We start from the raw sequence: 16,626 nt of genomic DNA, 5'->3' as shown, positions 1-16,626 counted from the left end.
CGGTCTGCCTGCCTCAGCCTCCCAAAGTGTTGGGATTATAGGTGTAAGGCTGGCCAATTTCCATGGTTTTATTCCATGTTTTGCCACCTGCTAGGACAAGTCTCTCTTAATTGCTCATTTTTTCAAAACCTCATTGGCTCTTTTTATGTATTTCCTTTTCCATTTTAACTTGAGAATTAACTTGTTAAATTCTGTAAAAGGTCCTTTTGAGACTTTAAAAAATTGCAGTTAACTAAATTTATATATTAATTCAAGGAGAATTTAAAAATTTTAAATATTGCATCGTCTCATTTAGGAACATGGTATATCTTTTATTCAGAGCTTCTTGCATGCCCTTCACTATTTTTTTTAAAATTCATATAGGTTTTATATAGTTTTCTTTTGGATTATTTCTATGTATTTTATGGAGCTTGTTATATTTGTGAATGCTATCTTTTTCTTTCCCAATTTCTAGTTGATTATTGCTGATGAACTAGAACACTGATTCTGAAAGTATGGTCTCTGGACCAGCAGCATCAACATTTCCTGAAAACTTAGAAATGCAGATTCTCCAAGTGATTTTAATGCATACTAAAGTTAGAGCCACTGGATTAGAAAGATACTTTGTCTTTCCTGATTGTTGAAGTCCTATTTTTCTTATAGTCTGCAGTAGACAACCTTGTATTTTTTATTACTATTATTATTTTCATCTTTTTCCATTTTCCATAGAACTGTCAAGTCCAAACTTTTTATTTTTATTTTTTACATTTTTAAATTTTTTTTTTTTTTTTTTTTTGAGACCAGGTCTCTCTTTTTTGCCCAGACTGGGGTGCAGTGGAGGTCACTGTAATCTCCAACCCCTGGGCTCAAACAATCCTCTCACTTCAGCCTCCCAAAGCCATGGGGTTACAGGCATGAGCCACCATGCTAGACCCTGTACTTTTTTTTTCTTTTTTTAGAGTTCTTAAGGTGAAATGGTAGAATTATTGAAATAGTTCCTGCTTTAAAGAACCTCAGTTTTGCACACAGATAAAATAATGCTTTATTTTTGAAACAGCTTTGTGGAGATATAATTGACATACAATAAACTGTACATAATTCAAGTGCAGTTTATTGTACATCAATTGTTTGATAAGTTTTGATTTATATACACATTTGTGAAGCCATCACCACAATCAAGACAATGAACATATCCCTCCCTCCCAAAAGTTATCTCTTGGTACTCAAGCTCTGTGTAATCCTCTCTCTTTGAGTGTGGGCTGGACATAGTGATTTGTTTCTACCTGATAGAACAGAGAAAAAAATAATAGGATGCCACTTCTCTGATTAGGTTGCAAAAGACTGTGACTTCCATTTTGCTTGCTCTCTTGTCTTCTCTCCACTTGTTCACTTGGATGAAGCCAGCCTCTATGCTGAGTGCTGCCCTCTAGAGACGGCCACATGGCTGGGACCTGAGGGGCCTCTCAAAGGCCAACTGGTAGTAAGGAACAGAAGTCTTGAGTTCAGCACCCATGAGGAACTGAATCTTGCCAAAAACACCTGAATGAGCTTGGAAGTGGATCCTGTCCCAGTTAAATCTTGAGGTGACTATGGCCCTGGCCATCACCTTGACTAAAGCCTTGGGAGAGACACAGGGCTGGTGCCTCAACTGCAGCCTTTTGAGAGGCCCTGAACTGAAGGGTCCTGATAAGTTGCACCTGGATTTCTGACTTACAGAGACTAGGAGGTAATAAATGTTAAATGGTTACATTTGGGGATAATTTGATATTCGGCAATAGGCAATTAATACAGATAGGAATTAATAAGTTATGTGTGTGTATATAAATATATATAAAACGTATGTGTGTGTATATATATATATATATATATATATATATATATATATATATATATACATTTTTTTCTTGAGACAGGTTGTCACTCTGTTGCCCCAGGCTGGAGTGCAGTGGTGTGATCATGCTCACTGCAGCCTCCACCTCCAGGGCTCAAGAGATCCTCCTGCCTTAGTCTCCTGAGTAGCTGAGACTACAGACAGGTGCCACCACACCCAGGTAATTTTTGTATTTTTTGTAGAGAAAGGGTTTCACCATGTTGCCGAGGCTGGTCTTTTTTTTTTTTTTTTTTTTTAACCAGAGTCTCACTCTGTTGCCCAGGCTGGAGTGCAGTGGAGTGGTGCGTTCTTGGCTCACTGCAAACTCCACCTACTGGGTTCAAGTGATTCTCGTGCCTCAGCCTCCTGAGTGGCTGGATTACTGATATGCACCACTATGCCCAGCTAATTTTTTGTATTTTCAGTAGAGACGGGGTTTCACCATGTTGGCCAGGCTGGTCTTGAACTCCTGGCCTCAAGTGAACCACCTGCCTCAGCTTCTCAAAGTGCTGGGATTACAGGTGTTAGCCACGGCACCCAGCCTATATTTTTAATGCCCTTACTCTTTATTTTTTTCAAAATAATTTCCATTTACTAAGCATAAATCTGTGGTGTTCAGACCCTTCTCTATTACTTTCTCCCCTTATTTGTGGCTAAATATAAAGAGATAATTCAACAGTTCTTTGTCGACGGTATTTTATAACAACTGATTATATGGCAGAAAAATCTATTTTTTTTACTTTTGAGTTACTCAAAACCCTTGGATGATGATTTATTCGCAAGGTGCCCCTGAGATAACTTTCCTAATATCTTTGACTTTGTTTCAAAGGAAATTTTAGAAGCCACAGTCATCTTACCCTCTTTCTCCTAAAGACTGAGATTGAAATCGTAGTTTAAATACCTGAGGGAAATTAACCACGTAAAAGTATTCCATGGATAATTTTTTGTAAAATAATCACTTTATTAAGCAAAAAATTACCTTTTGTAAGGGAATCACTCCCTTTGGAAAGGAATTCCAAAGAAAGAGCAAAAAGAAGATTGTAATGGGGATGGATATTCCATAGTGTCAGGTTAGGGACCACACTTCATTATCTGTGTCTGGCAACTTAATGAATAAATGTTGGTAAAAAGAATGTTTGAAAGGAACAAAAATATTAAAGTTTGAATATTCAGTCTTTCTCCCTTTACTTCTCCCACCCACTGAAGGAAGGATCCTTCATTTCTTATCTCTCCATCTATGTTGAGTTAAGGAAGAGGTTAGTCTGGGCATGGTGGTTCATGCTGTAGTCCTACCACTTGGGAGGCCGAGGCAGGAGGATTGCTTGAGCCCAGGAGTTCAAGACCAGCCTGGGCAACATAGTGGGAATCCCTGGTGCTACAAAAAATTGTAAAAATTCGTCAGGCCTAGTGATGCACACCTGTAGTCCCAGCTACTCCGGAGGCTGAGGCAAGAGGATTACCTGAGCCTGGGAATTTGAGGCTGCAGTGAGCCGAAATCACACCACTGGACTCCAGCCTGGGTGACAGAGTGAGACCTTGTCTCAAACCGCCCCCCCCCAAAAATCAAACAAACAAAAAAGCCACAAGCGCACACACACACACACACACACACACACACAAAACAAACAAACAAAACAAAAACAAAGAAGAAGGTTAAATTATTATTTTGTGTGTTGGGGGAAAGGTCTTGAAGTAATAGCCAAGGAAGGTAAACGGCCTCGATGGTAGGGTGGGGGCGGGATTGCGGGGAGGGAGAGAAGGGTGAGTATGAGAAAATGGAATAACCTTGAGAGTTTGGTGAAGTTATTTGGAGAAGTTATTTGGGCAGGTTTTCAGGAAAACTTTAGGGAAAAAGACCGGTAAAGAGGATTTTTGGGAAGTTTTGCTGTGTTAATATGCATACAATTCCTCCCTCGGCACTTCTGTGAGATTTTTAGTAAAAATTTTCATCTTTCCAAACTTTTTGCAATTGAATTTGAGCTTACTTTGAATGTATCACATGCTCAGACTGGCCTTAGGGCAGCTGAGTTTACTGCAGCTTCTCTCTGTCTACTAAGCATCTACCTCTCCTCTTTTTTCGCTCCTGCTCTAGGCCTCATTGCCCTGTTTTCCAACAGCATTAACTGATGCCACCAGTACACATTTATCTAGGGGTATTCTTACTTCCCTAACTCTCCTCGCCTAGAAGTAAACAAGTCTTCTTTCTGCTTAGTTCAGTCAAGACACATTAGAAATTATTCATAGAGGCCACAGGCAGGAATAAAAAGAAATTGAAAGATCAAAAATATATAAAGAAAAATGATTAAAGCAAGAAACATTAGTTTATAGAGTTTAGGTTTCTTATATATTTTTTAACTAATTAATTTTGATGGAGTCTCATTTTGTCACCTAGGTTGGAGGGCAATGGCATGATCTTGGCCCACTGCAACCTCTGCCTCTAGGGTTCAAGCGATTCTTCTGCCTCAGTCTCTCGAGTAGCTCGTACTAAAGGTGTGCCCTACCACATCTGACTTTTTTTTTTTTTTTTTTTTTTGTATTTTTAGTAGAGACACGGTTTCACCCTGTTGACCAGGTTGGTCTCAAACTCCTAACCTCAAGTGATCCACCCACCTTGGCCTCCCAAAGTGCTGGGATTATAGGTGTGAGCCACCACACCAAGACTAATTTACTTATTTTTAGACAGGGTCTTGCTCTGTCACCCAGGCTGGAGTGGAGTGGTGCAATCATAGCTCACTGCAGCCTCAAACTCCTGGGCTCAAGTGATCCTTCCATGTCAGCTTCTCAAGTAGCTAGGACTACAGGTGTGTGCCACCATGCCCAGTTGACTTTTACATTTTTTTGGTAGAGATGGGGGTCTACACTATGTTGCCCAGGCTAGTCTTGAACTCCTGGCCTCAAGGGATCCTCCCGTCTGGGCCTCCCAAAGCTCTGGGATTACAGATGTGAGTCACCATACCTGGACAAGTTTCCTTATATCAATGTAACTAAAGACTCACTATGAAAGGGCTTCATCTTATGGAGTCTTTCAGATTCTTAGTGTTGGTTCTTTTCTCTTCCTTAGCTCTGTGGCTGTGTTTAGTGTCTTAGCCAATCATTGCTGTGTTTTGAGAGATCTTCAGCTTGTTCTGGAACTTAGGTTTGTACATAAAGGAAACGTTTTTTCTCCTTGTAACTACTGTATAAGGAGGGTGAATTTTATAAAATGAAAGCCATTTTTTTCTTTCTTTCTTTTTTTTTTTTTTTTGCTGAGCTCCAGCCTGTTATCAGCCTGAACTACAGCACTTTTCTGAATGATAGAACTTACTGATAGTTTATTACATACAGAATTGAATTGTTATTTTACTCTTTCATGAATATATACTCTATATCTTCAACTAAGCAGTTCTGAGAGGGCAAGGGCCATATTTTCTATATTTTCCCTTCATAGGTCTTAGTTATTGTGTTTATATAAAGTTAGTTTAGATCAATAGTTCTTAAAGTGTGATCCAGGTACCTCCGGGGGTATCTGAGACCATTTCAAGGGGTCCACAAGGTCAAAACTATTTAAAAACAAGGTTTAAATATTATTTGCCTTTTTCAGTCTCCTTCTTTCATGAGTGTATGATGGAGTTTTCCAGATGCCACATGGATATGTAATGATATCATTGATCTGATGCCTAATGAAATGTGTGCTTATGTATCTTGTGTTTTAAAATTTTCTCAGTTTTAATTTCTTAATATTGATAAATATAATCCACATAAACAAAAGCTCTTTAAGCTTCTCCATAGTTTTTAAAAGTGTAAAATGGTACCGAGACAGAAAAGTTTGAGATCTGCTGATGTAGATAATTATGTGTTGAACTGAAAGTGAAATCAATCTGATCTTATCTAAATCATTTTTCTGAGTTTATAGTGGGGCCTGGGATTCTTTGCTATTACTCTCTGTCTCAGTCAAGGTCCAATCTGATACAGAAACCACAAGAGATAGAGACCACAGTTATTTGAACAGGAAAAGTTTAATATAAAGAATTATTAACTATAACTGAGGACTGGAGTAACAAGGGATTGGCTAGTAAGAAGCAAAGACACCTCTAAAGAATATAGGTGCTATTGTTTGAATGTTTATTTTCCTCCAAAATTCATATGTTGAAATCCTAACCCTGAAGGTGGTGACTTTGGAGATGGGGACTTGGGAGGTGATTAAGTCATGAGGGCTACCCTCATTAATGGAATTTGTCCCTTACAAAAGAGGTCTGAGGAAGCTGTTTACCTCTTCTACCATGTGAAGACACGGGGAAAGATGGCTGTCTATGAATCAGGAAGTTGGCCCTCACCAGGCACTGAATCTGCCAGACCTTTGATCTTGGACCTCCCAGCCTCCAGAACTGTGAGAAATAAATTTCTCTTGTGGGTTTTTTTTTTTCTGTTGAGACAGAGTCTTACTCTGTTGCCCAGGCTGGAGTGCAATAGTGCGATCTCAGCTCACTGCAACCTCTGCCTCCTGGGTTCAAGTGATTCTCCTGCCTCAGCCTCCCAAGTAGCTGGAATTACAGGCGCCCACCACTGCGCCCGGCTAATTTTTGTATCTTAGGTAGAGACAGGGTTTCACCATGTTGGGCAGGCTGGTCTCGAACTCCTGACTTCAGGTGATCTGCCCACCTTGGCCTCCCAAAGTGCTGGGGTTACAGGCGTGAACCACCATGCCCAGCAAATTTCTCTTGTTTATAAGCCAACAGTTTATGATGTTTTGTTATAGCAGCCTGAACTGACTAAGACAACAGGAATAACAGCTACTCCTCCCTGGGGCTGAGCTAGAGCATCCAAGGAAGAGGCCCCCCAGGATTGAGATCCAGACCTTGTTGAAGAGGACACAGCTGTGTCTCACTGAATGGCAGAGAAGTTACTGTAGTGCCATGCTGACAGAACTTGCTGGAAATCTTCCTTCTGGAACTTTGCAGAAATCTTCCTCTTAGGTTTCTGGGAAAGCTGTTCATGGTGAGGTGTCTCAATGCGGGCACTCGGTAGCAAAATTGCCTGAGGGAGGAGTGGGGTGTGGTGGGAAGGAAACTGTTGGCCACTGGGTGCTGTTGCTGCTCTGCACTGCAGGAACCAAAGGCTGATGAAGGTACATGTGTTGCAGGACCTGGCTGGACAATGTTGAAGTTGCCCATTTAGTAGGACCCAGAAAAGCAGCCCTGGGTGCAGGAGCCTGCAGAGGGAACATATGCCCACCAGGAAGGAAACCTTTTTCTTTTGCAATGTCTCTCCAGTGCTGTCCACTGACAAAGTTTACCATCATGCCATCTGGTAAAGAAAAATTACTTAAAGGACCTAGCTCTATTTTAACAGAGCAGGCAATGAAGGATCAATCTAGAGTTGAGAAGAAACAAAATCACAAATGGCATACTCATTTTCTCTTATGAGAAAAGAAAAATAGCTCAGAGTAGTCTGAGCTATGTGAGGTATGCAAAATGACTCTCTTAGGCCCAGAGAGTCATGAGTATGGAACTTCAGTCATGCCTCTTCCAACCCATGCCCAGGGGCAACTGTGTAAAAGCATTTTGTTCCTGTCTAGCTGCCTCACCCACTATCTTTATGTTCCTGAACTTTGTGATACAAACAAAAAATGAATAGCCAATCAAGAGCTTATGTTATTTCAATGTAAATTCCTGGTAACAATTTAGGAATTGCCTCTTCTTTTTTCCTTACACCCCACTTGTAACTGCTATTCATCAGAAGGTCATTCTCAAGCTTTGGGCTGGAGTAAACTCTATACTTAATCATATTTTCTGAATCTCATCATTTAAGGTTGACAAAATATATAGTTTATGAATTACGGTGTCTCTTTAAATTCCTTATATCTTACCCCTGAAGGTGATGGCATCTGGAGGTGATTAAGTCATAAGGGCTACCCTCATGAATGGAATTAGTCCCTTACAAAAGAGGTCTGAGGAAGCTGTTTACCTCTTCTACCATGTGAAGACACGGGGGAAAATGGCTGTCTATGAATCAGGAAGTTGGCCTTCACCAGACACTGAATCTGCCAGGCCCTTGATCTTGGACCTCCTAGCCTCCTTATGTTTTCTTTGCTTGGAAATCCATTCATTTATCCAACAAACATGTATTAATTGATTATAACGTTCTGAGTACTTATGTGTAGCAGACATTGTAGTCTGTTGTCTAATTACAATTTCCCCATTTTTTCTACATAATCGGATTCCAATTTTGTTCTGTTGACCTAAAGGAAGAAGTGGAGACAAAATTAATATAAGTAGAGAGTTTATTTGGGTCAAGTTGGAAGATTGCAGCCTGGGAGCACAGATTCAAGTTGCCATGAATATGCACTCCAGTTAGCAGCAGTTATAAGTAGAATTTTAAAGGGAAAGAAGAGGCAGTTCCATTGCCAAGAATGTATATTAAAATAACATAAGCTATTGATTTGCTATACATTGTTCAACTATAAAGTGTGGCTTATGGTGTCTGGTGCTACATTATTAGGTACACTTATAGCTACTTGTGGCAATAGCAAGCAGTTTTAAGAGATGAATACATAGCTAAACAGGTGGTTGCAGGGGAGTAGAATGTGATTGCTGTCTCAATGGGCTTGATAATTTTTAAAGATTCACATCCCTCAGATAAAGGTTTTTTTTTTCTCAGTTCTTCTCTGCATGGTTCTCTTTGCCATAAACTTCAGGGAAGTCTAGTCCCAGCCTCAACTCTAAACCCACCTCCATGGGGTGAATCACAAATGGTCGTAACAGGTTTTGGTTATCCCCTTTTCTTTGTCAGAGATGGGGCTATAAACCAAAAATAAAATCTAACCCCCCTCAACTGACTAAATGGACCCGCTTTTGGCCAAGGGATTCCAAAGAAACCTGAAAAACTAGTTCAGGTTATGAAGGAAGTAGAGTTTAGGCACAACTGACCAGTGTTAACATTAAAATAGCAATCCTCAGATTGACAGAACAGACTCTTTATAGCAATAAGATACCAACTCCAAACTGCCTCTGGTCACATCACATGACAAATAACAGGCCCTAAAGGAAATCAAAGTATTTTTACCCCCAAATATATTTCTTTGAGATATTTTGGAATGGCCCTGCAAAGCTGTCTCTTGTGGGAAAAATTTACTTTCTCTAGAGAATCCTCTTCCCTTTCCATATCTTTTCCTGATCCAGGAGAGATTTAACTGGTAAATATCTGATAAGAGACATTTACCATCTATTCCCTTTGAAGTCAGCTACCTGGAGGCTCCATCTACATAACATGAACCTTGGCTCCCATAACCCCCCTTATTTTAACTACAAGACTTTCTTTCTGCTGATTTGAACTCTTTAGGCAAAACTTAACTCTTTCAACCAATTGTCAATCAGAAAATCTTTGGATCCTCCTATGACCTGGAACCCTCCCCCTGCACCCCCCAACTTTGAGAAGCCTTTCCAGGCCACACCAATATAAACTTTATGTATATTGATTTATGGTTTTGCCTGTAGTTTCTGTCTCTCTAAAGTGTGTAAAATCAAGCGTAACCCAACCACCTTGGGCACGTATTCTCAGGACCTCCTGAGGTCATTGTCCTTACATTTGGCTCAGAATAAACCTCTTCAAATATTTTACACAGTTTGGCATTTTTCATCAACATGTCTGTGACACATTTCTAGCCAATAGGACATGTAGGGAAGTCTGCAGAGGGGCTTCTGGAATAGACTTTTCCTACCATCTTATAAAAGTTGTATTCAGAAATAACTAATTATCTTCTGGTGCTGGGCATTGTCATGTCTCCATGTAAGGCCTGGAACATTGGTGGCCATATTTGTCCTCTGAGGGGAGGGAGATAGTTTGAGGAGACAACTAGGTCTGCTGTGCACAGCAGAGCAGTGAGAAATAGAAATTAAATCCTAGGCCCCGCAGCCAACTGAATGGACCCCCCCTTGGCCAAGGGGACCCCAGAGAAACCTTAAAAACTAAATTCCCAGCCATGACAGGATAGGCGGTCAGACATACCTCATTATACTTCTTCCCTTGCTAATTGCCTTTAGACTTTCTTTCCTGAGTTAAACAGGAACTATTCCTTTTGAAAGACTTGCTGGACTCCTTTTTTTGTGGTTTTGACAATACAACTGACCAGCATTCCTTTCTGGTAAGTGACCACCATGGATTGGTTGTGGCTGATTTACAGAGGATGCACACAGGATGCCTCTGTGTCTTCGGTTTCACCTTTTGAAGTATATAGCTTAATTTTAATGCATGTAAATGTTAAATCTCCACCCCAAAGTGAACATGGGACATATATAATATGCATGTTTGCTTATTGTGCATGTGAGTGTCTGCCTTTGTGAATATATATATAGATATCTATATATATATATATATTTTTTTTTTTTCACGAAAAGGAGGCACTATAACCTATTGAATATGTACACTTAGCCAATCCGTCTCATTCTTCCTTCTTTAAAATGCCTGCTTCCGGTTTCTGACAGAGGCTATGCTTCCCAGATTGTGGGATGGCCAGCCTGCAGGCTGCAACCTTTTACAACAAATAAAGCTCTCCACTCCAAATTTATGAACCTTGTGATTCTTAAATCAACAACAAGAAATGGAAGTAAATTGAAGAATTATTCAAACCTAGAAACACCTCCTTCTAGTCTTCTTGTTTTAAAAATCATTTTGAGTTGTTACTTGTAGCTAATAGTTATGCTAGACTCCTGACATGACAAATAGGAAGAAGATACTGTCCTTATTCCCAAGAGGTTCACAGTGTGGTCTGAGAAACAAGTTAAATAATAGTTTAAGATTGTTATGATAAAGGAGGACAGTGGTTAAATTCAAATGCAACATGCTAGTTTCAAACTAACTATAAAACTAAGTTAGAAAAGAGAAACAGATCAAGAGAAAATGTTTTGTAAAGTTACCTCTTGAAGGAAAACATTTCCAAATTTTCCTGCAAATAAAAACCTACACAATATATTTGATTAGTGATTTCTCTCTTCCCCAAACTGTTCCTTATTATAGCAGAAAAGATTAATTAACATTTGTTAATTGATATTATTTTTCCAACAAATATAAAAATGAGGCTGGCCATGGCGGCTCATACCTATAATCCCAGCACTATGGGAGGCTAAGGTGGGAGGATTGCTTGAGACCAGGAGTTCGAGACCAGTCTGGGTAACATAGTGAGACCTCTGTTTCTACAAAACTCAAAAGTAAACTTAGCTGGGCATGGTGGTGGATGCCTATAGTCCCGGCTACTTGGGAGGCTGAGGCAGGAGGATTCCTTGAGCCTAGGAGTTCAAGGTTGTAGTGGGCTTTGATTGTGTCACTACACTCCAGCCTAAGAGAAATACAAAGTTGTAGTTTCAATGAATAGCTGCAACTAGTATGACAAGGAAAAATTTTTACCTTAATATGTTTCTATCTTAATATTTTAAACATGGTGGTGTACGTATTCAGTTACAAAGAACGTATGCTTTTTGTTATTCAAAGGCACTGGATCTCAAATTGCAGATTTCTTTCCCATTTCTCTTAGAGCACTCAACTGAGAATTGTAATCAGCTGTTTGCTAGTATAATTAAAGTGTATATTTAATCTCGATTCCAAATGGAGCTGTTGGAAGCAGAAACAGATTACCTTACTTTCCTTTTTTTTTTTTTTTTTTTTTTGAGACAGAGTCTTGCTCTGTCGCCCAGGCTGGAGTGCAGTGGCACTATCTCGGCTCACTGCAAGCTTCGCCTCCCGGGTTCACGCCATTCTCCTGCCTCAGCCTCCCGAGTAGCTGGGAGTACAGGTGCCCACCACCACGCCTGGCTAATTTTTTGTATTTTTAGTAGAAATGGGGTTTCACCTTGTTAGCCAGGATGGTCTCGATCTCCTGACCTCGTGATCTGCCCGCCTCGGCCTCCCAAGGTGCTGGGATTACAGGCGTGAGCCACCGCGCCTGGCCGATTACCTTACTTTCACAGTTAAGTGAAGCTGGGTGACCCTTACCTGTATCTCAAATGTTCCTGCAGCTTTCCTTTGTTCATGAATGCTGCTGCCTCTTATTTGCAGTTTGAATGGTGACTTCTATGCTTTCTTCCTGGAATCTTCAGGTTGGTTTTCAACAGACAAAGTAAAACAGAAGCTTGAAGCATTTTTTTTTCTTCTTCTAAGTAATTCAGGAGAAAAACAATTCCTTTATTGAGTAACACACAACACACCAGGCACAGTCCTGCCTCTGGGCCTTAGCACTTATTGTTCCCTTGGCCTCACATTCTAACATTCCCTTGGCCTCACATTCATGCTATCTGCATGGCTCTGGCCTCCACTTCCTTAGTCACTCTCTCGTTGAGGCCTTCCTTTGCCATCCTACCTGAATTTCATCCCTTCCCCTCCACTTTATTTTTATTTACTTTTTATTTTTTTGAGGCAGAGTTTTGCTCTGTTGTCCAGGCTGGGGTGCAGTGGCGCAATCTTGGCTCACTGCAACCTCTGCCTCCCAGGTTCACGCATTCTCCTGCCTTGACCTCCTGAGTAGCTGGGACTACAGGTGCCCACCACCACACCCAGCTAATTTTTGTATTTTTTTAGTAGAGACGGGGTTTCACCATGTTGGCCAAGCTGGTCTCAAACTGCTGACCTCAAGTGATCCGCCCACCTTGGCCTCCCAAAGTGCTGGGATTATAGGCATGAGCCACCACGTCCGGCCTCTTCCCCTCCACTTTATATTCCCTTTTTCCATTTCACTTTTCTTCCTTACCAGTTTTCAATCTCTAACATGACCCATTAGGTACTTTTTTATCTTATTATGTTTCCCCAACCAGAATGTAAATCCCCTGAAGGCAGGGATTTTTGTCTATTTGTCTCTTTTCTTTACTGATGAATATCCAGCACCTAGAACAGTGCCTGGCATACTTAAGTGCTCAATAAATATTTGTTGACTGATCTACAGTGGAATAAGTTCCAGCTTTGGAGTCTTAAAGGCCTGGATTAGAACACAGACATTCTGTTTATCCTAGGGTAACTCCTTTCACACTTTTGAACCTCAGTTTTCTCACCTATAAAATGGAAATAACTACTTCACAAGGTTGTTTTCAGGGTTTAATGAGAAAATGGAGGCCTAGTGTCTGATCCTATTGGAGTCGTATGATAATTATTAGTCTTCTCCCTTTTCAAGTTGAGGAAAGACCTCAGAAATTTATTTTCTGATAGTATTCCTCCTACTTCCACAATTCTTTATGGGTGTATCAGTCAAGATCATAAGCCCTTTAGAAGGTGCAATCAAATTAGTGTCAATTGAAAAGAGTTTAATTTACAAAGCATCAGTTGAGGATTGAGGTTAGGGGAACATAGGACATAGAGAAGAAACCCAGGGAATAGCAGAGCAGCCATGATACTCAGGCCCAAAGGGTCAAGGGGAAGGAGGAATAATTAGGTAGAGTAGTTTGCCTTGCAAAGAGCCATGATTCTCTGGAACACAGCTAGCCCTAGGTCACCTCACAGGAAGGGAACCAGGGCATCCAATAGTCTGACCTCACCCTCCTTTCTCCCTCAGATGATCTCTTGCTGGGTCTATCATCAGACCCAACCATAAGCCAAGGGGCTTCTGATGTCAGCCATACATATTAGCTCTCAGAGCAGAGAGCAGATGGAAAAGGATGGAGAATGAATCTGCAGGACCAAAAGGATGCTATCCAGCCCAGTGCCCTTACGATTTATCAGGCACTTGCTATGCAAGGTATAGAGAATAAAGATATGGCTCAACTTTCAATCAACTCATAGTTGGGTTGGGATGACAGCCTAATAAACAGAACTTCAATATAGTGTGACAAGTTTCATACAAAAGCCAACACAGGGTACTACGGACATATATACAAGACAGTATCTCTATCACAACTTAAATGTGACAGATAGTGGGTGATGATGCTGGTGGTTTGACTGGGAAAGGCTCCCTGGAGATTGCTGTTGGTAAAACAATTCAGGGATCATTTATTTTCTTTCTTTCTTTCTCTCTTTCCTTCCTTCCTCCCTCCCTCCCTCTCTCTCTCTTTCTTTCTTTCTTTTCTTTCTTTTGAAACAGGGTCTCACTCTATTGCTCAGGCTGGAGTGCAGTGGCTTGATCATGGCTCACTGAAGCCTAGTAGTTGGGACTACAGGTGCATGCCACCATGCCCAGCTATTTCTTTTGTTTTTTTTTTTTTTTTTTTTTTTTTTTTGTAGAGATGGGTTTCACCATGTTTCCCAGGCTGGTCTCGAACTCATGGGCTCAAGCTATCTGCCTGCCTTGGATTCCCAAAGTGTTGGGGTTGAAGGTGTGAGCCACCTCGCCCAGCCTTCCTCAAGAGGTTTCTCTGATGAAACACAAAAAGATGGGAGTGAGCCTGGCATAGTGGCTCATGCCTGTAATCACAGCACTTTGGGTGGCTGAGGTGGGTGGATTGCCCGAGGTCACGAGTTCAAGACCAGCTTGGCCAACATAGTGAAACCCTGTCTCTACTAAAAACACGAAAAATTAGCTGGGCGTGGTGGCGGGTGCCTGTAATCCCAGCTATTAGGGAGGCTGAGGCAGGATAATCTCTTGAACCAGGGAGGCAGAGGTTGCAGTGACCTGAGATCACGGCATTGCACTCAAGCCTGGGCAACAAGAGTGAAAGAAAAAAAAAAAAAGCTGGGAGTATGGCATGGAAGTGAAGATGAGAGTTGGGGGGGTTAGAGTGGAGTAATTTCAAAGATTCTTCTCAGCTTTAACATTTTAAATATTTAGGTTTTAAAATTGTTGTTGTCCTGTTATTTCTGAACAGTCAGACTGTGGATCTTTAATAAATGCAAACAAGTATAAAATTTTGTAGCCGGGCATTGTAGTCCTAGCTACTTGGGAGGCAGAGGTGGGAAGATTGCTTGAGCCCGGGAGGTTGAGGCTGCAGTGAGGCATGATCACACCACTGCACTCCAGCCTGGGGAACAGTGAGAACCTGTCTCAAAAAAACAAAACAAAAAAAACCCTTTTTCTTGTTCTCAGAATTAGAGTTTCAAAAATGAATGGTCTTAAAATAACTAAATTTAGGAAAGAATATAATGGTTTGAAAATAGTGTAAGTTTATTACATAGTGAAACTTAAAATAATGCAAAAAGAGGACTAAACTAAACTTGTATTAGCTGCTAATAGTCAAGTTTAATTTGGGCAAATATTCACATTATTCAACATTCTCTTCAAATTGGTTTCCTTTATTTAACATTCTCTTCATATTTATTGTTCTAACCTCCAAGAAAATTCTATGTAACTCTACATCTTGACAATTTCTTTCTTTCTTTTTCTTTTTTGAGACAAGGTCTGCTCTGTCACCCAGGCTGGAGTGCAGTGGCGCGATCTCGGATCACTGCAACCTCTGCCTCCCGGGTTCAAGTGATTCTCTTGCCTCAGCCTCCCAAGCAGCTGGGAGTACAGGCGCATCACCAGGCCCGGCTAACTTTTGTATTTTTAGTAGAGACGAGGTTTCACCATGTTGGCCAGGCTGGTCTTGAACTCCTGAGCTCAAGTGATCCGCCCGCCTTGGCCTCCCAAAGTATTGGGATTACAGGCGTGAGCCACCGCGCCCGGCCCATCTTGACAATTTCTGACAAAAACAAGTAAACTCATGTAGCAGCTGTATATTGTTATGTGAAAGGTATATATGGAATTTAAGGTTAAAAGCAACCTCTGCCTCCCGGGTTCAAGTGATTCTCTTGCCTCAGCCTCCCAAGCAGCTGGGAGTACAGGCGCATCACCAGGCCCGGCTAACTTTTGTATTTTTAGTAGAGACGAGGTTTCACCATGTTGGCCAGGCTGGTCTTGAACTCCTGAGCTCAAGTGATCCGCCCGCCTTGGCCTCCCAAAGTATTGGGATTACAGGCGTGAGCCACCGCGCCCGGCCCATCTTGACAATTTCTGACAAAAACAAGTAAACTCATGTAGCAGCTGTATATTGTTATGTGAAAGGTATATATGGAATTTAAGGTTAAAAGTATACCCACAATATGGATGCATGCAGTGGTCAGATTACAATGGGATGAGGGCTGCTGGAATCAGGTTGGGGGAGAGGACCAAAGAGGGGAGGAAACAAACTTTTCTTGAGTATTCTTCCTGGCAGCATAATTTGTGACAGGCTTGCCAGGTTACCCAATGGGACAGCTGCAAGGGCCCAGTGCAACTGAATTTGGTGTACCGAGAGATCTCACTGTACGAATTATTTTCTCGGTAATTAGATGTAATTATTGTGAAATGTAGCGAGGAGCTTGTCCACAATAAAAATCAAACAAGAATTTCCAGAAGTATCCCTAGTACTGTGGCCTACACATGTCAAATGGCTGGGGGAAAACATAACCGATAATTATAAACAGAACTAGAGAGGGAAGCGTGGGCAGTGAGAAAGTAATACTTCAAACGGATTCACACGATGTTAGGATGTGTCGTTGGGAAAGCCAAAGAAATGAGTCAAATTGGATCAGGGCAAACCGTAGTGAGGGCAGGCTAGGGGCGGAGCTCTGGGCCAGCTCAGAGGGACTTGCCCTTCCCCAGCCTAGAGCGGCTCCGGCCTCGCCCCCTAGCTCTAGCGGAACCTTCTCCTTTTCCCGGTCACGGGGCTCTGGGGCCAGCCAGGCCTTCGTCCCCGGCCCCGCCCACCCGCCGCGGCACCGGCCCCGCCCGCCAACCCAGGCCGCGGCAGGCTCCGCCCCCCGCCGCGGTGCCCGGCTCCGTCCACCTTCTCTGGGCCGCCGCCGCAGGCTGGCGGCCGGCGCGGCCGGGGGCGGGGCGGGGCGGCCGGGGGCGGGGCGGGGCGGCCGGG

At 41.9% G+C, this 16,626-nt stretch overlaps 1 protein-coding gene across 8 annotated transcripts in view, besides 1 other annotated feature; it reads left to right on the top strand.

The window, feature by feature from the left end:
• STK3 (serine/threonine kinase 3) overlaps window positions 1-16,626 on the top strand; it is a 598,636-nt gene that overhangs the window by 100,154 nt on the left and 481,856 nt on the right. The gene's annotated exons all lie outside the window — the stretch shown is intronic.
• Window positions 16,283-16,622: a silencer, noted in NCBI's record as "silent region_19399". NCBI's record gives its function as "represses an Ori minimal core promoter by ATAC-STARR-seq in GM12878 lymphoblastoid cells {active_cell/tissue: GM12878}" and the evidence as "EXISTENCE:reporter gene assay evidence [ECO:0000049][PMID:35858748]".

This window comes from Homo sapiens, chromosome 8 (assembly GCF_000001405.40).
Source record: "Homo sapiens chromosome 8, GRCh38.p14 Primary Assembly".
Classification (NCBI taxonomy): domain Eukaryota; kingdom Metazoa; phylum Chordata; class Mammalia; order Primates; family Hominidae; genus Homo; species Homo sapiens.
Note: the sequence above shows the minus strand (reverse complement) of the source record. Positions and strands in the feature narration are given on the sequence as shown.